At 34.7% G+C, this 27,425-nt stretch overlaps 1 long non-coding RNA gene and 1 pseudogene across 2 annotated transcripts in view; one reads left to right on the top strand and one right to left on the bottom strand.

The window, feature by feature from the left end:
* Positions 1–27,425, top strand: part of LINC02334 (long intergenic non-protein coding RNA 2334) — a 131,124-nt gene that overhangs the window by 49,331 nt on the left and 54,368 nt on the right. For both annotated transcript variants that reach the window (XR_941880.4, XR_941877.3), the window contains exon 2: positions 14,034–14,159. This is a non-coding gene — a long non-coding RNA (long intergenic non-protein coding RNA 2334). The remainder of the gene's footprint in view (positions 1–14,033; positions 14,160–27,425) is intronic.
* HSPD1P9 (heat shock protein family D (Hsp60) member 1 pseudogene 9) lies at positions 8,811–10,948 on the bottom strand (annotated as a pseudogene).

The raw sequence follows: 27,425 nt of genomic DNA on the forward strand, positions 1-27,425 counted from the left end.
TGAGGGTCTTGTGCTTATTTTGGTACTGACTTTGGTTTTGATATCAAGGTTAACTGGTCCCATAAATGAATTGGAAAGTGTTTTCTCCTCTTCTGTTTTTTTTTTGGAAGAGACTGTGTAGGATAAATGTTATTTCTACTTAAATACATGGCAGGATTCACACATGAAATCATCTAGATCTAAAGACAGTTTTTTCAGAAAGTTGTAAACCACGAACTCAATTTCTTTGGTCATGAATTATATTTGACCATGAATTCAAAAGTTGTAGCTGTATTTATATTGTCTATTTCATCTTGAGTGAGTTTAGTTTGTGGATTTTGAGGAATTGATCAATATTATATAAGTCGTAGAACTCAAAAGTAAGAAAATAATCTTCTAGAAAATAGAACACCTTACTAAAGAAGGTATACAAAAGGTATACAAATGGCAATAACTACATAAAAACATATTCGACATTCTTCGCCATTAAGGAAATTCAAATTAAAGCCACAATAGGATAAGACTATACAGTTATTAGAATGACTAAAATTTTTTTAAATACTATGTTAGTCAATTTTCATTTTCTATAAAGAACTACCTGAAACTGTGTAATTTATGAAGAAAAGAGAGTAATTGACTTACAGTTCTGCATGTCTAGGGAAGCCTCAGGAAACTTACAATCACGGCAGAAGGTGAAGCGGAAGCAAGCACCCTTTTTCACATGGCTGCAGGAGAGATCGAGAGCAAATGGGGAGGGGCTACGCACTTTTAAACAACCACATCTCACAAGAAATCTATCACGAGACAACACTAGGGGGCGTGGTGCTAAACCATTAGGAACTGCCCCCATTATCCAATCATCTCCCATCAGGTCCCTTCCCCAACATGTGGGAATTATAATTCTACATGAAATTTGGGTGGGTACACAGAGTCAAACCATATCAGTAAGATTCTATTTATATAGCATTCTAAAATGTTCAATTCACAGTGATAGGGAATAGGCCAGAGGTTGTCAGGGCTTTAGGTTGGGGAGAATGTCATGTCTATAAAGGGGTAACATTGAAAATTTCTTTAGAATTATGCAGCTTTTTGTGTCATGTTCATATCTATCTACCTACCTATTTATTTACCTATCATAAACTTTATAAACATAAAATTAAAAAATTACTTGATTGATAATATCTGGCATGTAAGAGACCATGTGTCTTTGAAATACACTGGATGAATGGTAAATTGGGGCTCACTGGACCATTTTTGCAACTTTGTGCAAGTCTAAAATAATTTTAAAAATTTTTTAAAGTTTAAAATAAATTACCTAGAAATATATAGCATGCATAATCGAAGAAAATTTGATGAGCTCATATGCTGTATAATGTGCCAAATGTGCTTAACCAAAAGAAACAGAAAAAAGAGATAGAGTGGGAAGGAAGGAAGGAAGGAAGGAAGGAAGGAAGGCAGGCAGGCAGGCAGGCAGGCAGGCAGGCAGGCAGGCAGGCAGGCAGGAAGGGAAGAAGGAAAGGAAGGAAGGAAGGCAAAATTAGCCCTTTACAAAAACCAGAAGAATGCTTTCCTTCTGGTCTTAAAAAACGAAAGCTGCCATGTTGTGGATAGTGCTACGTAACAGAGAATTTCAGACACTCTCTAGAAGCTAAGAGAGACCCATCGTGGGCAGTTACCAAGAAAATGGGAACATTAATCCCATAAATAGCAGGAAGGAAGTTCTGCCAACAACTTGAAGGGTATCAGAAGATATAAGTTAGATAAGATTAGGTCTCCATTATGACTACCTCCAAGTCCGATGATTAGTAACTTAATCCCTGGAGTGGTGTCTCAGCACACACACAGGCCTCATTCACATTCAAGGGGAGATGATTACACAGTATATGCACGTCAAGCAGTGGGCATCTTGTGGGGTGTGGAATGGTGCATTTTAGAATTGTATCTCCCAGAGTAGGAGACTATTACTAACTTACAAAAGGGTTGTTTAGGTTGTTAAACCAGGTGTCCTCCATTCCGTACTTGTGAAATTCAGTTTGGGAGCTCATTAGAATTACTATTCCATACTTCTTAGTAAGTGAATAAAAGTTTAACAACAGTAAAGTGAAAAAAAGATATCTATGTATATGAGCTATGAGAAATAAAAAGAAACTTTAAAAAAAACTATCAATTTAACCTCTCAAAGAGTAGACACAGACTTACAGAAAAAAATATTTTGCTACAAGTAACAACATAAACACCTGTGTGTCAACTACTCATGTAAATCCATTCTTTTTGATTTTGTGAAAATTTATAACTGGAGAAAACTAATTTTCTTCAACACTAGTTATGTTTCTTTTTTTGTTATAAAATTTTTTTTTCTAAACTTTTCTTAGTTTCTTTTAGTCTATTCCATAAATACTTTCGGGGTATCTATGTTTAGATAATTAGGTGTATGAGCAGCATAAAAGCAAGTAGGACACATATTTCAGTAATTAAAATGAAGATACTCCTAATAATATAGTTGCAGATGGTATATATCTGGCGTCCCCAATATTCACTATCTAATATACATGGTCCATGGCCTGTTAGAAACTGGGCTGCACACCAGGAGATGAGCAGCAGGTGAGTGAGCAAGCAAACCTCTATCTGCATGTGACAGCTCCTCATTGTTCACATTACTTCCTGAGCTCCGCCTCTTGTCAGATCTGTGGTGGTATTAGATTCTCAGAGGAGCGTGAGCGCTATTGTGAACTGTGCATGTGAGGGATTTAGGCTGCACACCTCTTATGAGGATCTAATGCCTGATGATGTGTCACTGTCCCCTATCATCCCCAGATAGGACCATCTAGTTGCAGAAAAATAAGCTCAGGGCTTTCATTGATTCAACATTATCGTGAATTGTATAATTATCTCATTACATATTACAATATAATAATAATAGAAATAAAGTGCCCAACAAATGTAATATGCTTGAATCATCCCAAAATCATTCCCCCATCCCCTGGGTCCATGGAAAATTGTCTTCCATGAAACTGGTCCCTGGTGCCAAAAGGGTTGAGGATCGCTGGTGTATATCATAAACAATTCTAGTGAAAATTGTGGAATGATGATTGTCCTAGATTCTTGTTAGGAAAATCTACATAAAATAGACAGAGCTGACCTCTGCGCCAGTGATGATTAGTTGGTTAGTAAATGTGGGCTGTTTGGGAAAGGAATTTATCTTGGGGTAGGTGGTTTTCTCCATTGAGACAATTTCAAAGAGCTGACAGCTAAAGACTGTTTGCCTACAGCAGTCTCAGCAGCTGAGGGAATACATCTTTCATTCTTGAAGTATGGTCTGTGTAGTACATCAAAGTGGTTGCTACAACAAATGTGTATTATGTCATCTACATAATGTCAGTTTCAAATATTTGGAGGAAAAATACCCACAAAATTTTATATACTTTCATGTTTTCAGTTAAATGGTTATGATTAGGTTGCCTCTTTTTTTGTATGGCATGGTTCTACACCCTTCAACATCTAGTTGTCTTGTGCTTTAATTTAGCTACATCCTTCTTAGAATATTTTACTTAGAACAGAAATATATTGGCCTAATCAGTGAAGAATAAAAAACACTAGTATTGATTGGTCATTCTTATTTTTCCTAAAAGTAAAATCACTTTCTCATTTTTAAAAGCACTGCTATTTTTTCATATATAGGTGAAGGAAATAGTCACTTTTAATAAATTAGTACATCACTGATACCTTCCTATGCCTTTTTCTTAAATATCCATATACATCACTTTTTTCTAAACAGTCATACACATGTCAACATATTTGTAGATTTTTTCTTCCTTTTAAAAATAAAATTAGGTCATGTGCACTCTAATTTGCAACTTTTTAATATCACAAATAATATATAAATATACATAAATGAATGTATTTCTAATATTTGTATAACATTTCATTGTATAAAGATGCTGTCATCTATTATATCTTGCAGTTATCCTGTGGAGGCTGTCTCATATTATCTTGATTATAAGCAATACAGCATTGAATTTCCTAGTACTTAGGTTTTTGCACATTTGCTGAAGTATCTTGATGTACTAGATTAGTAGATGTAAGATTTCTGGTCCACAGGAAGGTGCATTGCCCTAATCATAAATCTTTTTACCAATAACAGATACCAATTTAGCTAACTTCACCAGAAAAATACTTTATCAGAAGTCTGCTATGTGGTTCGAGCATTATCAGGAATTTTAAAGAACCAAGCACAGAAAAGTCAGAAAATTAGAAAAGGCAAGGAACAGCTAATGTCCCATCACAGGTGTGTGCATCTTTTGAGACTTAAATGATATGCATTTCATTATCATGCTGAATGTAAAATGTTATGAATATTAGGGCTAAATGACAATGAACAATCTTGGCTATAGCACTGGACTTTTAAACCCATTACTGCCATTGCAAATGACCTCTCGCCATCCTTACATGTTGTGTCAATTCTCTCAGGATTCAGATTCCTGGATAGGAGTTTCAGACTGGCTAAGGCTCAATCATACTGCTCTTGAATTTTTTTTTTTTTCTTTTTTTTTAAGATGGAGTCTTGCTCTGTCACCCAGGCTGGAGTACAGTGGCGCAATCTCAGCCCACTACAATCTCCACCTCCTGGGTTCACGCCATTCTCCTGCCTCAGCCTCCCGAGTAGCTGGGACTACAAGCACCCACCACCACACCCGGCTAATTTTTTTGTATTTTCGGTAGAGACGGGGTTTCATTGTGTTAGCCAGGAGGGTCTTCATCTCCTGACCTCGTGATCCGCCTGCCTCGGCCTCCCAAAGTGCTGGGATTACAGGCATCAGTCACCGCGCCCAGCCACTGTTCTTGAATTTTAAGAAGGGACAACTGCTTCACTGAAACTTCTCTGCAGGAGTAGAGACTCTGGGTTCTCCACTATGAAGAAGCCCATTCAAATATCGAGAAGCCTAAAGTAAATTCCTCAAAGCATATACACATTTTTAATTGTAATAAATACCATCATTTTATTTCAAATAAATTATACCAGTTTTAATCCCATTTATAGTAGAGAGTATATTTTCCCAATAAGCATTGACAATGATCAATTTTTAAACTATTGCTAATGTGACAAAAAATAAAAATTATCATGTTGCAATTTGGATTTTACTGATTAGTTACCAAGGTTATTTTATTTTATTTGGGACAAAGTCTCATTCTGTCACCCAGGCTGGAGTGCAGTGGCACGATCTTGGCTCACTGCAAACTCCGCCTCCCAGGTTCAAGCGATTCTCCTGCCTCAGCCTCCTGAGTAGCTGGGATCACAGTCACCCACCACCATGCCCAGCTAATTTTTGTATTGTCAGTAGAGACAGGGTTTTGCCACATTGGCCAGGCTGGTCTCGAACTCCTGACCTTGAACTCTGCCTCTTGAACTCTGCCTGCCTTGGCCTCCCAAAGTGCTGGAATTCCAGGCATGTGTCACCGTGCCCAGCCGAGATTAATATTTATATTAAGATTCTCCAGAGAGAAAGAACTGAGATACACACACACACACACACACACACACACACACACAAGCACACACAGATGCTAGGTAGATAGAAGATAGATAGATAGATAGATAGATAGACAGACAGACACACAGACACACAGATAGATAAAGAGTGTACTTATTGATTAGTTTTTGAGATTATGGAGGCTGAGGCGTCTCATGACAAGCCATCTGCAAGCAGGGAGACCCTGATATGCCATTAGTGCGGATCAGTCCAAGTCTGAAGGCCTCAGAACCAGAAAAGCTGATGGTTAATCCTCAGTTTGAGGTCAAAGGCCTGAGAATAAGCTGGTGTGTGTAAGCCCTGAAGTCTGAAGGCCAGGAAACTTCAAGTTGTTGTTCAAGGACAAGAGAGAAAGAGTGTATCCTAGCTCTAGCAGATAGTTCAACATGGTTGCCTTTCCTCAGTTTCTGTGATGGTGCCCATCTACTTTGAGGGCTGCTTTTCCCCACGTAGTCCACTCAGACTCACATGCTAATCTCTGCAAAAGCCCTCACAGACACACCCAAAAGTAACGTATTATAGGGTTTCTAGATATTCCTTAATAGAGTCAAGTTGACACCTCAAACTAACCAGCACAAAATCTTTAAATTTATTTTAAAATACTGAGCTTCCTAATAATGAGCTAAACGTACCTATTTTTGTTGTCATTGTGATATTTGTATCTATATATTATGTGCAAACTTGCTTTCCTTTGGCATTACATGTATCCCCTATGTCATTTAAACTTTATTCTTTCTAAAACTTTAAAACATTTTCTAAATACAAATCTAATAAATACTCAATGCAAACAACTTGGCAGGATTGGACAAGAGCAAGAAAAAAGTAATACACCAACCATCTACTCTTAACACGTAGATGTATGTACTTCCAGTATTATGTTAAATTGTTTATACCTTTTGTGTGATTTTTCATTTTCCACTTCAAAATCTAGAATGAACATATTTTATGTGATTACATATTCTCACTATGATTAGTTTTAATGACTATATATGAGCATAGTACTCTATTTTCCACATACACTTATCACAACTTCGTCAATAATCAAGTCTTAAAATTTAGATATTTTTGGCAAAGTGTGATTCTTATCTTTGTAAATATAGTTGGTAGGTTTTTTTTAAAGAAACTTCCTTAGAATTATATTGCCAGTATTTACTCTATCCATAATACATGAGAACGCCTGCTTTCACACACCTTCACTATTCAATAGAATATACAAAGAATTATAACTCTTTATAAATTATTTCTCTAGAGGAAACAAACTTTTCCACTTATTTTGCAATAAAATACTTGTGTGTTTCTCTGTCTGCATTTAGGTTGGATACCTAACTTAAAAATTATTTACAATTGATGCATGATAGTTGTACATGTTTATGGGTTATAGTGTGACGTTTCAACACATGCTTACATTGATAACAATCAAATAAGAGTAGTTAGTATATCCATCATCACAAACCTTTATCATTTTTTTGTAATAATAACTTTCAAAAACCTCTTTTGTAGCTATCTTGAAATATACAATACATGGTTATTAGCCACAATCATGCTGCTATGTAATAGAACACCAGAAATTATTTTCCCTATCTAATTGTAACTTGGTAGCCACTGACCAACCTCTCCCTATCTTTCACTTTCTCCTCCCTTCCCCATCCTCTGGTAATCACTATTCTACTATGTACTTCTATGAAATCAGCTTTCAAAAATTCCGGGTATGAGTGATATCATGTAGTTTTGTCTTTTTGTGACTGGCTTATTTCACTGAACATCATGCCCTCCAGGTTTATCCATGTTGCTTCAAATGACAGAATTTAAGTCTTTTTTAGAGCTGAATAGTATTCCATTGTGTATTTATATCATATTTTCTAATCCATTCATCCATTGATGGACACTTAGGTTGATTCCATCTCTTGTCTATTAGGAATAGTGCTGCAATAAACATAAGAGTACACATATCTTTTTGACATATTGATTTCCATTCCTTTGGCTATATGCTCAGTAGTGGAATTGCTGGATCATATGGCAGTTCTGTTTTTATTTTTTTGAGAAACTTCTATACTTTTTTCCATAATGGCTTTACTACATTTACATTTCCACAAATATTATATATGAGTCTTCTTTTCTCCCTATCCTCATAAGCATTTTATTTTTTGTCTTTTTGATAATAGCCATTCTAACTGAAGTAAGGTAATATTGCATTGTGGTTTTGATTCACCTCTCCCTGATGATTAGTGAGGTTGAGCATTTTGTCATATGCCCACTAGCTATTTGTATGCCTTTTTTGGAGAAGTGTCTATTCAGATCTTTTGCCCATATTTAAATAAAATTATTTTTATGTTTTTGGTATCAAGTTGTTTCAGTTCCTTATATATTGTATATATTAACTCCTATTTTGATGAATCATTTGCAAATATTTTCTCCCATTCTGTAGGTTTTCTCTTCACTCCTAGGATTTTTTTTTTATTTTTTTGCTGTGCAGAGGCTTTTTAGTTTGATATAATCACATTTGTCTATTTTTGCTTTTGTTGCTTATGCTTTTGAGGTCTTATCCAAAAGGTTTTTACCCACATTATTGTCATGAAGCATTTCCCCTGTGTCTTTTTCTAGTAATTTTATAGTTTTGGTTCTCATATTTAAGTCTTGAATTCATTTTGAGTTGATTTTTATATAAGGCGAGCAATGACGGTCTGGCTTCATTCTTCTGTCTATAGATATCCAGTTTCACAGCACTATTTATTGAAGAGACTGTATTTTCCCCAATGTGTGTTCTTGTCACATTTATTTTACAAAATCAGTTGGCTGTAAATACGTGGATTTATTTCCAGGCTCTATTCTATTTCATTGGTCTATGAGTCTGTTTTTATGGCAGTGCCAGCCCGATTTAGTTATTACAGTTTTGTAGTATACTTTGCAGTCAGGTAGTGTGATGCCTCTAGCTTTTTCTTTTTGCTCAAGATTGTTTTGGCTACTGGGAGTCTTTTTTGTTCCATATGAATTTTAATATTGTTATTAACATAGAAGATACAGCTCAAATTTCTAAGAAATAGCCTTCTTGCCTGGAAATATTCCCACTTCCTTTTTCTTTCCATAGTACATGATTTTTTAAGGATCTTTTGAAAAAGATTATTAGATTTTACCTAAAGTTGTTTTACATAGTTGATAAATGATGGACTTAATAAATAACTACAAGTGGTAACAGATCATACTGAGGAAACATTTAGAAGATATAATTTGAGATTTTATACTTTAGAGAATTTTAGTTTCAGAAGCACAAAAAATAGACTGTTCGAATATGAAATAGGTGATTTTTTAACTTTAAAATAGTTTTTATTATACAAAAATTGTCACATAATTGGATATTTCTCTACTTTGTACACAATTAATCTCCACAGAGAGACTGCTTAAATTCTCATCTGGTGGTGGCAAGCACTAAAATTTTAACAGAATAGTAGTAAAAATGCCTCAGGGATTTAAGTTGAAAGCAATATATTGGTACATGGCTTTGCACCCAATATTAGGAGTGTACAAATGTCTTTTATTAAAAAATACAAAATAAATTATCTGTAGGCCTGGACAATGACAGGAGTAAGCCATTATGTATTTTGTCAACTGAAACCAGTAATGGTTATAGTGGTTTCTTAAATATCAGCCAGCCTTTTCTTCAGTCATTTTCTCCAACTGACTTCTCTAAAGCTATTGGTGAGGAACACTGCACTGAGCTTCTGTCACAGTTCATTAATATAGGTAAAGCAGTATTCTAGGAATTAGAACATGCCACCTCTCATACCACCTCTCATTCTACATATTGCACCCATTCCAGGGTCCTTCTCTTCTTCAGGAATTTTTGTGACTAAAATTTCTGCTGTAGTTAACAGAGAGGCCACCCAAAAGCATCCAATAAAACAGTTTTCAGAAACTTTGTTGGATCAATGATTCCTTTTCCCACCATATTCACAAAATCTCTGACCATAGCATCATAACCAACTTCTATAGAACTTTGCGTAATTTTCTTGACTATAAAAGATCCTTCAATACCTGCATTTTTAGCAATTGTCATTGCAGCAATTTTGAATATTCTTTTAATTTCTATACCAATGTTTTGATCTTCACTAGCTGGAGTCAATGAGTACAAGGCTGGAACGTATTGAAGCAGGGCACAGCCCCTTCCCAGAACAATGCCTTCTTCAACAGCAGTTATTGCATTAAGGGATCTGTAACTCTGTCTTTCTTTTCATTCACTTTGACATCACTTGTCCCACCAACCTTCAGCACAGCTACTCCATCTGAAAAGTTTTCCAGCCATTCTATCAGTTTTTCCTTTTCGTATCACTAATTGTGACATCTAACTGCTCCATGATTTCTTGAATATTTTTTTTTCAATTTGAGACTTGTCACCTTTTCCTTTTAAGAGCATAGCATAATCTTTAGTCACAATGACCTCTCCAACTTTACCTAAGTCACGAGGCTGCACATATTCAAGATTTAGGGCCAAGCCCTCATCTCCAAACACTGCACCACCAGTAGCAATAGCCAAATCTTTAAGCTGGTTCTTTCAATTGTTCATCAAATCCTGGAGCTTTGACTGCTATAATGTGAAGACCAACTTTTAGCCTATTCAAAACGAATGTACTTAGAGCTTCTCCATCAATATCTTCAACAATTATGACCAAAGTTTTATGGTGAGCATTGGCAACTTCAAGAGCAGGTACAATGGACTGGACACTAGAAATTTTCTATTCACTCATTAGAACATGGGCATCCTGGAATTCACATTTCTAGCCTTCTGGTATATTAATAAAGTATGGAGAAATATATCCTCAATCAAACTTCAGGTCTTCAATAATGTCTAATTCATCATTCAGTGTTTTTTCCTTCCTTACTGTGATGGCAACCTCTCTACAGTCTGTCTCCATTTGTAGAAATTGTAGCAACCTGAGCAATTTCTTCAGGGGTGGTCACAGGTTTAGACTGCTTTTCAAGTTCAGCAATTACAGCATAAACAGCTAGCATCACACCTCTCCCCATTTCCAATAGATTAGCACCTTTACTAATCTTCTTGAAGCCATCCTTGGCAATAGAGCATGCCAGAACAGTACAGTGGTAGTGTCATCCCCAGCCTCTTCACTCGTGTTATTGGCAACATCTTGAACAAGTTTAACTCCAATACTGTTATATTCATCCTTTAAGTCAATAGATTTTTCAACAGTCACACCATCTTTTGTTACTTTGGGATCTCCACAGCTCTGTTGAATAATCACTGCTCTTCCCTTTGACCCCATTGTAATGGCTACAGCATCGGCTAAAAGTTCTGCACCTTGAAGCATTAAGGCTTGGGCATCTATACCACATTTTACATCTTTAGCATAAGCCCAAGTGAGATAAGGGGCCAGTACCCTGGACACAGTTCTCATCTAGTGAAAGACTGTGAGTTATCGAAGCATTTCTGCAGAGTGGTGGTGGTGAGTGAGGAGAAATAGGTGCTTTTTAGCGCAATAATAACAGAGTGATATAAAGAAAGAGGATTAATTTAGATAATTAATTAGAATAGCTTGATATGAAAGTATTTTAGGAAAATTTTTTTTATGTAGAGTCATTCTAAAAGTGCAAATTAAAAACTCATTTACATTTGGATACATACCATACATTGTCAGTATATGTCATTTATTAGTCTGAAAATCTATTTTTTTAATAAGCAAATGGTCTGTTTTTATTTAATATCAAGTTTTTTCATTTTCTAATATTTTCAATTCTGTCAGATAAAACAGTATGTGATAATCCACACGTTTTTACTGTCATTACTGAAGCTTACTTGCTAAAAACAATTCGCCACAGCTTATACAGAGTTTACAATTCAGATTGTATGCATGAAAAGAACTTACTACCTTCTCCACTCAGCTTTTCCTTTAAGAAGATTGTTAACCCAATCCTAATAAGGAAGCTGCTCTGTGCATTTACAGGGAGAAAAGGCATGAGTTTCCTTGGCAACTGGAGCCATGTGCAGTCTCTCAGAACAGCTCCTCCTACACTCAAGTTTCCTAGGTAGCAGGCTGCATATATTTTATAAAGACAATGGGATAATGGGACAGTTATTACCCTGTCCAAACTTGCATGTGAAAAGCTTCAATGGGAAAGATGCATTTGCTATAATCACTGGCAATTTGAGGGAAGATATTAATTCTATAATGAGTTTGCTTCCTCTTTCTAATTCAGGTTTAACAGTTTAATTCAAAGTCCAAAATATATTAGGTGTTTGCCAATTTTTTTTTTTTTACAGGTGAAAATAATTACTTTCCCTTCTACTTCACCCTCATCAGCCACTACCAAATTAGCAGCTAAAGTTAAAGGTGAGCTGTAGGTGAGCATTTCAAGGATAAATAGTGGTTAGTTCATAGTACTGCTCTGAAGCAGAAAAACTAATCCTTAATATTGCATGAATGGAAGAGACCCAACTTATCTGAAATTGACTGCAAAGGGTCACAAAATCTTAAAACATCTAAAGAAAACCTGTCTATAGATCTAGAAAATATTAGAAGATATTAGAAGCATGGATAGCCTAAAGGACATAGATAATTTTAGTAAACTAAAACATTAAAAGACAAAGTATTGATAAAATTTATTATATACAGTCAATAAACAAAGTTTTTTCTGGGCTGAGTGGTGAGATAGAGAAGTTAAGTAAATGCATTTACATTATGTAGATTTCTCTGTTTTTCCAGCATAAGAGCATTTAAAAGACATCAAATTAAAGAGCAGCTGTGTATTATTATTAAATGTGGACAAAATCTTCTGGCAAATTAGGATTCTTTATAAGTCAAATATTGTTTTAAAATTATTTTTGAAGGCTTTTTAAACTCTTAATTTTATTTTTTATTTATTTATTTTTTTTTTTTGAGACGGAGTCTCGCTCTGTCGCCCAGGCCGGACTGCGGACTGCAGTGGCGCAATCTCGGCTCACTGCAAGCTCCGCTTCCGGGGTTCACGCCATTCTCCTGCCTCAGCCTCCCGAGTAGCTGGGACTACAGGCGCCTGCCACCGCGCCCGGCTAATTTTTTGTATTTTTAGTAGAGACGGGGTTTCACCTTGTTAGCCAGGATGGTCTCGATCTCCTGACCTCATGATCCACCCGCCTCGGCCTCCCAAAGTGCTGGGATTACAGGCGTGAGCCAACGCGCCCGGCCTAAACTCTTAATTTTATATAATAGCAACTTCTATTCTCTGACATACAACTCCTATTCATTCACAAGACAATTAAGTCTAATTATCTATTGAGTTGCACAAAGAAAAATACGATTTATATGTAATTAATCAGCTCTGGAACATTGTGAATTTTAAATTCTGTGCAACTAGAGGAGTACAGATTACATTGTTTAAACCTGTTTTGCTGAATACTTAGCAGAGCATCTTTACAATTAGAACTTAAAGGGGAAAATATTACAAAATACTCTTTCGAATACTCTTCTTGCAAATTAAATCATAGGACATTCTACATATGACTATTTTGGAACCAAAAAATAAGACAGATTTTTCAAGAAAAAATTGGGACATTAATATTTTATATTGCTTTTCAAATACAATATTTACTTTCCTTTGTCTCCTCTGTCACACACATGTGCATGTGTATACTCACATATGCACACACACAGATACGGACATATTCTTTTTATTCAATCATTTTTATTGGATTAATTGAAATACTGTGTTTTCCCTGAATGCATCATAGACATTTTATCAGGTAACATGTGTTACATTACATAGCTATTTTTAATATACGTGTTTTACTCTACTATAAATTTAACATAAATTACTGAAAAATTTCTCCTCTGATGGATACTTTACTTAGTTTACTTCAATTGTATACACACACACACACACACACACACACACACACTTGCTTTTTGTGTTTTGTTTTTTCTGTTTGAGTGATTCCAAGAAGTGGGAATTACAGGATTTGAGAATCTGTCATGGAAAGTGATTTTGAGATTGTAATAATGGATTATAAATAATTTATGACAATAGCATAGACTTCTGGAATTTGGAATTGCTAGTTTTGCGCATAATAAGGTATGCCTAAAATGCTCCATCTGCAGGTTTACTTGGCTCGCTATGCAAATTTGCTAAGTTTGATTTAGGAGCATCCTTCTTTAATTATATTCTTATTTAAAGGTACCTTCTTTTTCTTCCTCAGAGTTCTAAATCAAACTTTCTTCAACTTTCAAAAGCAAAAGTGCAAAAATAATATTAAGAATAGATATTTAGTTATTTAGTTATCTAATAAGTTTTGGCTTTAATATGTGCTAGGCACTATTAAAGATTTACTGTGTTGTAGGATCAAATATGAATTATTAATATCAGTTAATTGAGTGTCATGTTCAAATTTTGGTTTTATTTTCAATATAATTTTATCAGGCAATTCTATTTACATTTTTGTGGGTGTGTCTAATTATTGTACAGAGCCCACCTTCTGGCTGTTTCTAAGACATGTTTTGTTTTGTTTTGTTTTGTTTTGTTTTGTTTTGTTTTGTTTTTAACCAGGGAGATGTTTCCTATTATCCTTGATAATGTGCCATGAACATATGAAAAAACATAGAAACATGAAGAAAACAAGAAGACAAAAATCACTAACATCTGGTTGGCTGTATAGAAACAAAGCTGATTCTGGTGAGTTACAAAACTATATATTATTTATAACTAATAACTACTTGCCTTGCAGCATAGTGATTCCAAACAAAGATGTAAGTGCAATTTAGATACATCTTTTAGTATATTTGAATTTTGTCTTATGGTGAATAATATTAAATTTGAAGCCATATTTAATGTGAACATTGTAAATACAAATTTAATTTTAATTACTTGGTTCATACATTACTACATTTAAGAAAAAGACGTGTGTAAACTGGACAAAAGACATTAATTTAGTTTGGCAGATTGATAACTTTGCCTGATATTGCATACAGAATCTCTTACTTGAATGGATTACTTGGAGATTGCCTCTAAGTGCTCTTTCATCTCTAAAATACTCTAATACTTGTCTTGTAATATGGGTAATTTAAAAGCTTTTGTATGCTGCTGGACTTGTTCTTTTTTAATCATGTTATTAGCTCCATTAGCCACAGATAGAACTTTTAAACCACTTGTTAACAAATCCACTGAAAAGAATTTTCTTTTTAAAAAAACAAAGGAGACGATTCCAGTGAGTGGTTTGCAAACAGGGGAGATGTTGCCTTCCTTACAAAGCGAAGGTGTGTTGGAGACAACAGAGATCGCTCTTTTTTCACAGAGAATCCCCATTCAGGTTCCCACTCTGGTCTGCTTATACAAATGAGGCATGCAAACTTGTTAATTGTTATTGACCGATGCAGCTCACAGTCTATTGGTTAGGTCCAGGAAGCAAAATGGGGTTTTAACCTGAACAGCTACAGACAGTTATGAAAGTCCAAAAATTATAGGAGTGTCTGGGTTTTCCAGAAATGCAGAATATGTGTGTGATCCTTATAGTCAGCAACTGGGTGCTTGGCTCTATTTTGAATTTAGGCCCAGTTAGCCACTCAGGATCCATCTTGAAGAACTGGCTCTTTCAGGATTCACATCCTTTCTAGCAGAATTGTTCATCTTTATTTAAAACTGTCAAAGTAACAGTCTTTAATTAGTTAAAGTTATGGTGTATCTAATACACATCTCTAAAAAGCTTGGCTGTTTTGGAAATAGTGAAGATTTCCTACAGAAAAGTGACAACTAAAATTTCACAAGAAAACCAATTCATTTGCAAATGGTATGGAAACATGATGAAGAAACCAACAGTGTCACAGAAACAGTATTCATTTTCAAGCCTCACTGGGATGCACAAAATAGAACTTTTATTAATCTCTTATGAGATGATTTAAAAACGTCTGAAAATCTAAATGACTATAGATAACTTTCAGTTTTTACATTTTAAACTATATTCACTGGATTTATAAAAATCTTCATGTAAACATAGGCTTTACCCTCACAAAAATGTGCCTCACTTTTCTCTAATATATACACTCACATACACTCCATGTCAGATACAAGGAAAAAATATTCAACTATATTTTGCTCTGCTCAACAAACACTATACTGCTTATTTTTCAACATACTAGTAAATGACATACTATTAATAACATACTATTTACAATTACTAGTAGTAGTGTGTTAATAACATATTAACACTACTAATAATAGCATATTATCAACAAACGATTATGTCATATGTATTGAACTTTAACTCTACAATAAAAGCCTTCTTGTTTGCCATTTGCTTAAGGAAAAATCATAGGAAAAGGTGAACTATATCTGCTGAAAAATAATATGAAGTATCTTCTTTCTCAAACACGTAAAATAAACTATCTGATTAAGCATATGTATATTGTCTCATTATTTTTTAAAAAATTGTTATACATAGCTGTTTAAACTTTTCTCTAGTTTTGTTTTATCAAATTTTAATGTGTTGGACAAATACAGATAGATATAAGTAATATTAATATGATCGACAAACTATAATGATAAGCAACCATGAACCTACTTTCCAGTCCATGAACTAAAATATAATCAATAACTTACATTACCTATTGCTGCTGTCTTTCTCCTTATGTCCCTATGTATTTTATGTATTTTATTATGTATGAGTGTTCTTCAAAACGTTTATGAAAATGTATATTATAAAAAACTTGCATGAATTTATTTTTTGCATCAAAATAAACTCCTACTAACTTGTTGTAACATGCTTAAATATCATAACTTAAGAATAACATATCAATTTGAAAAGAGCTCCTATCAGAGCAAAATGACTTGCGTTAAAACTGAAGCAAGAACAAAGATTAATTTTATAGTGAAGCTTGGGAGGAAGAAAGGTGAACTCATTGATGCTTTATGAAAAGTTTATGGAGAGAATGTCTCGCCAACATCAACATCTTACAAAGGAATACCTCATTTTAAGAAGCGATGAGACACTGTTGGAGATGAAGCTTGCAGTAGCAGACCATCCACATCAATTTGTTGTTCATCTTGTTCATGCGCTAACTGAAGAGGACCAATGATTAACAGCACAAACAATAGCCCACGCCATAGACATCTCAATTGGTTCAACTCACATAACTCTTAATGAAAAATTAAAGCTGAGCAAACTTTCCACTTGATAGGTGCCAAAACTGTTGTGCCCCAATCAGCGGCAGACAAGATCAGAGCTTTCAATAAAAAGTTTAAACAAGCAAGATCAAGATCCTGTAGCATTTCTTCAAAGAATTATAATAGGAGATAAAACGTGGTTTCACCAGTATGATCCTAAAGACAAAGAAACAATCAAAGCAATAGCTACCAAGAGGTGAAAGTGGTCCAGTCAAAACAAAAGCAGACTGGTCAAGAGCAAAGGTCATGGCAACAGATTTTGGGGACGCTTAAGGCATTTTTCTTGCTAACTCCCTGGAGAGCCAAAGACTAGTAACATCTGCTTATTGTGATAATGTTTTGAGAAAGTTAGCCAAAGCTTTAGCAAAAACACCCAGGAAAGAGGCAATACAGAGTCCTTCTCTACCATGACAAGTTTCCTGCACATTTCTTTCATCAAACTAGGGCAATTGTGTGAGTTTCAACAAATTATTAGGCATCCACCTTTCCAGCCCTGATTGGGCTTCTTCTAACTTGTTTTTGTTTTCTAATCTTAAAAAAATGTTTAAAGGATACACCCATTTTTCTTCAGTTAATAACATAAAAATAATAATATAAGAAAGTTGTTAAATCAGTTGTTGTTCTGGTTAAAGTCCCAGGACCCTCAGTTCTTTAGGGATGGACTGAATGGCTGGTGTTATCTCTTACAAAAGCATCTTGAACTTGATGGAGGTTATGTTAAGAAATAAGTTTATATTTTTATTCTTATCCTTTAATTCTATTTTTAATGAAATTTTGAAGTCCCATTGTGTATATATATATGTGTTTTTTAAAATAACAAGTTCTGGGATACATGTGCAGAACGTGCAGGTTTGTCACACAGGTATACACGTGCCATGGTGGTTTGCTGCACCCATAAATCCATTATTTACATTAGGTATTTCTCTTAATGCTATCCCTCCCCTAGCCCCCCATCCCCCAGCAGGCCCCAGTGTGTGATGTTCCCCTCTCTGTGTCCATGTGTTCTCCTTGTTCAACTCCCACTTATGAGTGAGAACATGTGGTGTTTGGTTTTCTGTTCCTGTGTTAGTTTGCTGAGAATGATGGTTTCCAGCTTCATCCAAGTCCCTGCAAAGGACATGAACCCATCAATTTCTCGTTAAATTAGTGAATAAAAGATAACATATTGTAGATAGTCTTGTGGGTCTGACTGCTTACTTAATTTATGCTTCCAAATCTTAATTAATGATGCTATGCTTTCAAAATCTATTCATGTTGCTCTATGCAACTAATTTCCTTGTTGAATGATGTTTTATTGTGTTAATATACCACACTTTATGAACTTGAATTGCTTTTAGTTTTGCTTTATTGTTTTGTTTTGTATGAAAATATGCTATTCTACATGGTGCACATAGACAAGAGTTTGGATATAGGTCTATGAACGTCACAATTTTACTGAAATTACTGGGTAAAGGGGTATACAAATATTTAGCTTTATGAGATTGTGCTAGATTGTTTCCAAAAATGGTTACAATCAATTTACATTCTTACAAGATATAAAGGAGATCATGGTTGTATTATTTGACTTCTTAATTTTGAAAACCTAGAATGTAAAAAATTATTTCTGGCTATTTTAATTTATATTTCTCAGATTAACATTGATTTTTGGCAGCTTTTCATATGCTAATTGACCTTACTTTCTCTTCTTTTGTCATGTGTTTGTATTATATTTTTTGTATTTTTTAATGATAAATAATAGTTGTACATATTTTGGGGATACGTGTGATATTTTGAAACATGTATACAATGTATAATGCTAAAATCTGGGTAAATGGGATAACCATCACCTCAAATATATATCTTCTCTTTGTGTTGGGAATATTACAATTCTCTTCTAGTTATTTTGAAATATACAATAAATTATTATTAACTATAATTTCCCTATTGTTCTGTCAAATACTAAAATGTATTCCTGCTATTTAAATGTGTTTTTGAACCCTTTAACCACCTTTCCTTCATCTCGCCCCCTACCTTCTTTTGTCATGTGTTTGGCCTACTTTTCCACTGGACTGCTTCACATTGTGTTATCTATTTTTAGCAACTCTTTATATTCTACATGCTAAAATTTTATTGGACATAGATATACACATATATACACTCATATTTTCTCCTAGTTTCCAGTTTATGATTTTTTTGACAACAAGATTGTAAACTTTTATTAGGTTCAAATTTTATCAACATTTAGACCATGAGTAGCAAGCCTAGTACCAACAGGTCATAAGGTTTCTTTTGTTAATTTTTTTTTTCTGGCATAAGGCTAATCAAACTACAGGCAAATAAGGAAATTGTTGCGTTTACATGTACAAGCCAAACAGTGCATGCGTATAAATCTTCCTGTCAGGAACCTGACACAAGGAAATGAGGAAACTATCATGCAAACACTGAATATTTGCTTTGCATTGAATGGCTTCGGGACAACTGAGAACTCCCTATACCGTAACGATTTTATAATCCAAAGCGACTGATTTATGTTCTCTAAGAAGTGCGGTGCTGCACAGGGTATTGCACTTTGAGTATTAAGCAAATCACCTCTTTGCAGACTTATTAGAGCATAGCCTTTGTCCAAAACTTTATGTAAAAATTATACTTATTGATGAAACTACTGCCATGAATTTTACATGCTCTTAAAAATACCGTTTGGTGCAGAGTATAATTTCCCCCAAATCCCTTGAACTCTGGCTTCACTCCCCCAGTGTCACAATTTTACTGAAATTATGTCATTATAAAAATGAACTTTGGTTTTATTCATAAAAAATTATTCAAGTGCTCAATTAACAATATATTTCAGGCTGGCACCTGGGTTAACATTTTACTTATCACAGACACACATTCTGATTTTGAATCTCACAAGATCTGTTCTCTGAATCATACATTTTTGTGCCTTTCAACATCAAATGTCAGATTCAATATAAAAATAATTTATGTTATGTTATTAGAGCTCAAAATCTTGATTTGTCAAAAGGAGGGAAAGAGGATTTTTGAGGACAGGGATAATTCCTTATGCATTCAACACAGCTTCCAGCAAGCATTCCTCCTGTGCTCTGTATATTGCCTCTAAGTGCCCAGAGGGCTGGGAAAAGGCTGCAGATCAACATAGTCAATGGTCTCTTCTTTAGCACAAGGACCAGTATTGGTGGCAGCTCCTGCTTCCCTGGTACTTTGTACCCTGAGACACTGTAAGTATAGGCATGAAGAGTGGAGAGACCATGAATTGTCAGTTAATGTGACGGAACTTTCCCACCTTCAAACTTCTCTCTCTCTTTTTCTCATCTTCTCTCTCTCTTCAACATTGCTTTAGTAGAAGACTTTCTGGCACCTTACTCTCTCCTACCCTGATTTAAGCTCTGTGTAGAGGTGCCTCAGGTATTGGGAAATATGATCAAATATTAGATGATTTACAGGGATGAAGTGGTTTATTGTGTGAGCTTATAAAAAAAGAATGGAAATATTTAAGTAGACTTCAAATCCACACATGGCATATGATAGTAAATTGAAGACCCTCACACACAAAATCTCATATGTATCTTTCTGCCTAATTTTCAAATCCAATCAGTTTTCATATTTGCTGACTATATTGTATCATTATTGTTCATTTTTACTTCTGCTTTCTATTTTTACTGACAACAGCCTACACCAAGTTATATTTACTTCTTGCTTAGGCTTTACTAATTATATCTTATCTGGCCTTCCAACTTCCACTTTTCTTCTCTAATCCAACCTACAATCTAATGCCAAGCTAGTTTTCTCCAGCTCTAATCATGTCATTTACCTATGTTTAAAACCTTCAAATGCAACTTCATATTTTGTCAATAATGCCCTAACATTTCATTCTCATGGTAATGAGATTGAAAGGAAGATGATTTCTCTGCTGAATGACAATGTTGAGAGTGCTCCAAAAATGTAAACTAGAGAATTGAGCATCTGAGGTAATTGTCTTGCTCTTATTTTTATGCTGTTAAAATAATTCATTATTTATATTCTTATAAATCAAAGAATGTGTACTGTTAGTGTGCATAAAATTATTTTAAGAACTGGATAATAGAAAGCATTGGACAATATATCATCTATACTAAAATAAATATTAAAAATCATAAAGTTTATTCATGGTCCCTACGTTTGTGAGTTGCTGCAGAAGCCAAGTAGCCTGTGTGATTTTGCTTGAAAGTACATCATTCTGCGCTAGAAGATGATTTGAAGGTACTACTAACTACAACCATTTTACTAAAGACTTAAAAATGCGTGCCTTCTGGCCGGGCGCGGTGGCTCACGCCTGTAATCCCAGCACTTTGGGAGGCCGAGGCGGGTGGATCACGAGGTCAGGAGATCAAGACCATCCTGGCTAACACGGTGAAACCCCATCTCTACTAAAAATATATATATATATATATATATATAAAAGTAGCTGGGCTTGGTGGGGGGCGCCTGTAGTCCCAGCTACTCGGGAGGCTGAGGCAGGAGAATGGCGTGAACCCGGGAGGCGGAGCTTGCAGTGAGCCGAGATCGCGCCACTGCACTCCAGCCTGGACGACAGAGCAAGACTCCGTCTCCAGAAAAAGAAAAAAAAAAATGCATGCCTTCTTATAAGACAATTGAGCAAAGCATTGTCTCTTATATAGGGAAATAAATGAGGACGTTATTATTCATTATATGTACACATTTAGGACAAAAAAACCTCATTATCAAATATGAAGTTTGTGCCCAATTTTAGAAAATGTGCATACATAATAACACTTTGTAGATATATGTCATGTTCGAATTTTTTTTACTAAAAATGAGTCACTTGTATTTATTAGCACAATATTCTTTTAAAAAATTAAATTTAATTTCATTTTAAGTTCTGGGATACATGTGAAGGACGTGCACATTTGTTACATAGGTAAATGTGTGCCATGGTGGTTTGTGGCACCTATCAACCCAACCTAGGTATTAATCCCCATATGCAATAGCCATTTATCCTGATACTCTCTCTCCCCACCAACCCCCATGACAGGCCCCAGGGTGTATCATTCCCGTCGCTGTGTCCATGTGTTCTCATTATTCAGCTCCCACTTATAAGTGAGAACATGCGGTATTTGCTTTTCTGTTCCAGAAAACTATACATTAGTTTGCTAAGTATAATGGCCTCCAGCTCCATCCACGTCCTTGCAAAGGACATAATCTCATTCCATTTTATGGCTGCAAAGTATTCCATGTTGTATATGGACCACGTTTTCTTTATCCAGTCTATCATTAATGGGCATTTGGGTTGATTCCATATCTTTGCTATTATGAATAGTGCTGCAATCAACATACACGAATGGGCATGCATGTTTATAATAGAACAATATATCTTTCTTTGGTTCTGTACACAGAAATGGGATTGCTGGGTCAAATGGTATTTCTTATTCTACCATCTTTGAGAAATCGCCACACTGTCTTCCACAATGGTGGAACTAATTTACTTTCCCACCAACAATTAGTGCCTCAATTTCAGAACTTGTTATTGGTCTATTCAGGGATTTGACTTCTTCCTGGTTCAGTCTTGGGAGGCTATATGTGTCCAGGAATTTGTCCATTTCTTCTAGATTTTCTAGTTTATTTGCATAGAGGTGTTTATAGTACTCTCGGATGGTTGTTTGTATTTCTGTGGGGTCAGCGGTGATATCCCCTTTATCATTTTTTTACTGTGTCTATTTAATTCTTCTCTTTCTTCTTCTGTATTAGTCTAGCCAGTAGTCTACCTACTTTATTATATTTTTCAAAAACCTGCTCCTGGATTCATTTATCTTTTTTGAGGGGATTTTCATGTCTCCATCTCCTTCAGTTCTACTCCGATCTTGGTTATTTCTTCTCTTCTGCTAATTTTAGGATGTGTATCTCTTGGTTCTCTAGTTCTTTTAGTTGTGATGTTAGGGTGTCCATTTGAGATCTCTCTAGCTTTTTGATGTAGCACAATATTCTTAATATATTTGCTTTTTGAGGTAGAAATGACTTTTTCTTGGTCAGATATGTGTGATAATAGTCTAAATCCATTTTTTAATCTTATCATTTAAATGTTTTATTGAACTAGAATACATAGACCCAAAGTACACAAATCAGAAGTATACAACTTTATTTTCACAAATTGAAATACATTGAGTGATCAGCACTGATATAAGAAATAGGTCATTACCAATATTCAAAAAGCCAACTTCCCAGTCACTGTTTCTTCACAAAGGTAATAACTATTATGATGCCTTACTCCACAGATGTATTTGTCCTCTTAATGGTATTTTTATTAATAGAATTATGTACTATACATACTCATTTATACCTGAATATTTTCATTAGAAATTATATTTTGAGAGTTATCCATTTTTATAGGTAGTGATATTTTTATCTTAATGTTTCAACACATTTGTTATTAACACTGCTATGAACGTCCTTGTACATGTCTGTTAATGATCATATGTACATATGTATATTGGAATATATATAAAGATATAGATATAGATATATGAGAGGAATGGCTGAGACACTAAGTATGCATAATTTGGCTATGTTAGATATTGGTAAACAATTTTGAAAAGTGGTTACCATTCACTCTTATTTGTGTCTGAGAGTGCTACATCCTTGCTAACACTCGGCATTATCTTTTTTATTTCAGCCATTCTGGTAGCTAAAGAATTAGAATTACTAATTAGTAATTAGTAGAAACAATTACTACTACCACTCTGGTGTGGTGGTAGTAATTGTGGTTTTAGCTTGCATTTCCCCATGCAACTCGATTCCTTAAACAGATTTCATATGTTTATTAACCTGATGACATTGTAAAATGTCACTGTATGTCTTTTGTCTATTTTTTTCTATTGCTCTGTTAATCTTTATGTTATTGATTTGCATATATTGGCCAGGTGCAATGGCTCATGCTTATACTCCCAGCATTTTGGGAGGCTGGGGTGGGAAATAACTTGAGCCCAGGAGTTTGAGACCAGCCTGGGCAACATAGTGAGACCTCATCTCTACAAAAAAATGAAATGTGTTAAGACAGGTGTGGTGGTGCAAACCTGTAGCCCCACATATTAGGAGTCTCAGGCAGGAGGATTGCTTGAGCCCCAGGAGTTCGAGGCTGCAGTGAGCTATGATTGTACCACTGCACTCCAGCCTGAATGACAGAGAGAGACCCAGTCTCAAACAATTAAAGAAAAAATTTAAAAAGTAAAAAGAATGATGTGTAGATATTTATATATTCTGGATATGGGACTTTGTTAGATATACGTTCGACAGACAGCTTCCCACATTCTTGTTTGTTCAATGTCTTTACAATATTTGTTTGATAAACATAGGTTCTTAACTTTAATAGTTTTATCAATTTATTGAATTTTACCATCACTGTTAGCAATTTTAGTGTCCTATTTAAGAAATCTTTGCTTACCTCAATAATATAAAATATTTCCTATTTTTCCCACAGTTTTATATAGTTACCTTTTATAATAAGATCTGCAGTCAATCTAGAATTGATTTTTGTGAATGATCTGTGCTTGAAGGCAAGATAAAATTTTATCTATATGGCTACCTAGTTGCCCCAGCACATTTATTTGTAAAACTGTCCCTTTCCTCACAGTATTGTGGTATGACATTTCTCACCAATCAAATTACCCCGTATGGGCGGGACTGCACATTTGACTTCATTCCATTAGTTTACTTGTCCATATGGCATTGTCTTAATTACTGTAGGTTATTTTTCCAGAAATCTATTGTAAAATTTCCCTAGCTTTACTCTTCTTTAAGATTTTCTTGATTCTATTTAGCCTTTTGTGATTTTCCCAAATTAATTTTAAGCAGCCAGTGAGTTTATACACCCACACCCCCACACAAATAGTACAAATTTGTTCACATTTTGATAGAGTTTTGCACCGATTCCATAGATTAATCTGGGAAAAGTATGTCTTTAAATTATTGAGTCTTGGAATTTATTAACAGTATCTATCCTTCCATTCTCTGAAATCTTTTTGATTTCCTAAATAATGTTTTGGAGTTTTCATTTTAGAGTTCTTGTACAACTGTTTTTAGAATTATTGCTAGGTACCAAAGTTCTTTTGATACTAACAAAAATCAATCCCTTGTAAAATTTGTGTTCTCTATTCTGCTAGCATGTGGAATTACAATTGAATTTTGTATGCTGACCTTGTATTCAGCAACTCTGCTAAGTTTACTTATTAATCAGTGGGTTAGGGGCTTTTTTCTTGGCATGGCTCAAAATTTAAGATTAAAAGCTGGGCACAGTATATGGGATTCTGGATGGTGGTTTCTTCGTCTAGAGAATGTTTACTTTTTCAGACAAATAGAGCAGGACTGATGACTTCAATATAACAAGGAACAGAGCTTTCTACATTCTGCAATACAATATTGGCGATGTGCCAGCTGCCTTTGTATTGCCTGTGCTTCTAGGACATAATCTTCTGTAAGCTCGGTTTGGAAACCAGCTCTGCCCATGGCTGGTTCTGAACTCAAATTTAATTATTAATTATGTTTTACCTTGGTAAATTTTTAAAAATGCTCTTTCTGAAATTTTAGAATAGCTTCTCTGTTACTAGTAAATTGCTCTCAATAATTTTTACTTATGATTCCCTCATGAACAATATTTCATGTATGTGCATATTTACATACCTATATACCATGAACATAAGCAAATACCTTATAAATACAGCTGTGTGTGTGTAAGAACTGTGTAAGATCACACAGTTATATTTATAAAGCATTTACTTGAGTATGTTCACACAGACACACATACACAATTATTCAACTGTATATATTTCAACATTATTCTGGGTCAATCAAAAGATGGAAAAGTTGGATGAGTTGACGTAATTCACAGGTATTCTATATCCATGATCTTCAAAAATCTGTGTTCAATTATACTGAGGAAGTTTCATGGATGTCCACATCATATGAATTAATACTGGATTTAATTCCTGAATCCAAATGACTTTTAAAATCTACTTAGACACTGAAAAGGTGAATTTTTAAAGAAAAAATAAATAGTAAAACCTTGAAATTGTTTCTTTTAATTTTAAAACAACTAAATATACTTACCCAATTGTTTTCAGGGATGTTTAAATTCAAGCATATAATGAAGCTTCTTTAAAATCTAAGCTAGAAACCCATATTCTCAGGCATAGTCTACATAAGTTGCATTTATGGGCACTGGGATTTTGCTAGCAATATTCACCACTGTATCTCCAACTTCCTTAAAGGTGTGTGTCAGTAGCCCTGAAAATAATCAAAACTGTATTTTTGATTACATAATCAATATTTTATAGCTGAAAATGAGCAAACGATAAGACAGTAGGAAATGTCTATGAGAAAATACCAAGTCTCAGCACAAATAGTTGTGAAACATATCACTATTGGCAGGCAATATAGCTGCAGTACAATCTTTTGCTGAGGTTTTGCCACTGAAATCAGTTGCACTCAGCATGGGCTGTAGTTGTCAATACTTCATGCATAAAATGAAGAAATTCAACTGTGTTTTCTCAATAATCAGATACTGCATTAAATGTTAATCCATTATTTAATAGCTCTTCAGAGTGATTCCTCATCAAAAGCAATTTCAGACAAAAACTAGAAAGTTAATATTAAAATGAAAATTGTCTTTTAGGTTTTTCACCGTGACAGAGAAAAATATCTGTAAATCACACATAATATAAAAAATATAGTTTTTCTTAGAAAATGGTGATACAAGAATTGAGAAAGTAACATTTAAAATTTTAAAAGTGTGGGCCTGGCACTCCACATTTGTGGAACATAGAGTTCCACAAAATGAAACAAGAGATTATTTGAGAATGTCAGATGCAATCCCAGCACCCTGGGAGGCAGAGGCGGTTGAATCACTTGAGGTCAGGTGTTTGAGACCAGCCTGGTGAACATGGTGAAACCCCGTCTCTACTAAAAAATAAAATACAAAAATTAGCTGGGCACAGTGGTGGGCTCCTGTTATCCCAGCTACTTGGGAGGCTGAGGCAGAAGAATCACTTGAACCCAGGAGGCGGAGGTTGCAGTGTGCCGAGATCATGCCATTGCACTCCAGCCTGGGTGACAGAGTGAGACTGTGTCTCAAAATAAAACAAAACTAAACAAATGTAAAAAGTGTGATGCACACTCAGAATGCGTTCGTTTATGAATGACATAACACAAATTTCAGTCTGCTAAGGCAGCTCTTAGTTATAAGTCAGCAGAACAAAATAAAAAATGAAGATGCTTAAAATGGTAGTCGATTATTTTCCTTTAACTTGAATACATTTCTACTCAAATTAAAATTTGAATATATTTTAGAAGATATCTAAAATTTTTTTTATTTTACCCAGCTGTAGTTTCTAATCTCCATCTTTAAGCTATTTTTTTAGTCGGTTACACATAAAATGAAAATTCTCATTTCTCCTTCTTTCTACCCTACTTTAGAAAATGTTTGCCTCTCCCATAGCCTCATTTGAGCCCCAATTAGTGGGAATGTTTGAAAGAAAATAATTTATCTCTCAATTTCCTACTTAAAGCATGCTTTTGCCGTACTTTTCACATTCATTTCAATATCATAGAGAAGCCCAATGTCTTTCTGTAAAACAAATGACTGAATATTTCCTATTAAATGTCAGTGCTGTACCTTTCAATGGTTGCAGGATAGAAAGACAGCCTTACTTGGTTCAGTCTTAGATGAATAATGTCAGTTTTATATAAAAATTGGTTTTAAAGGGAAGACTGCACCACTTATAATAATAGTTGCTTCTC

This window comes from Homo sapiens, chromosome 13, assembly GCF_000001405.40.
Source record: "Homo sapiens chromosome 13, GRCh38.p14 Primary Assembly".
Taxonomy (NCBI): domain Eukaryota; kingdom Metazoa; phylum Chordata; class Mammalia; order Primates; family Hominidae; genus Homo; species Homo sapiens.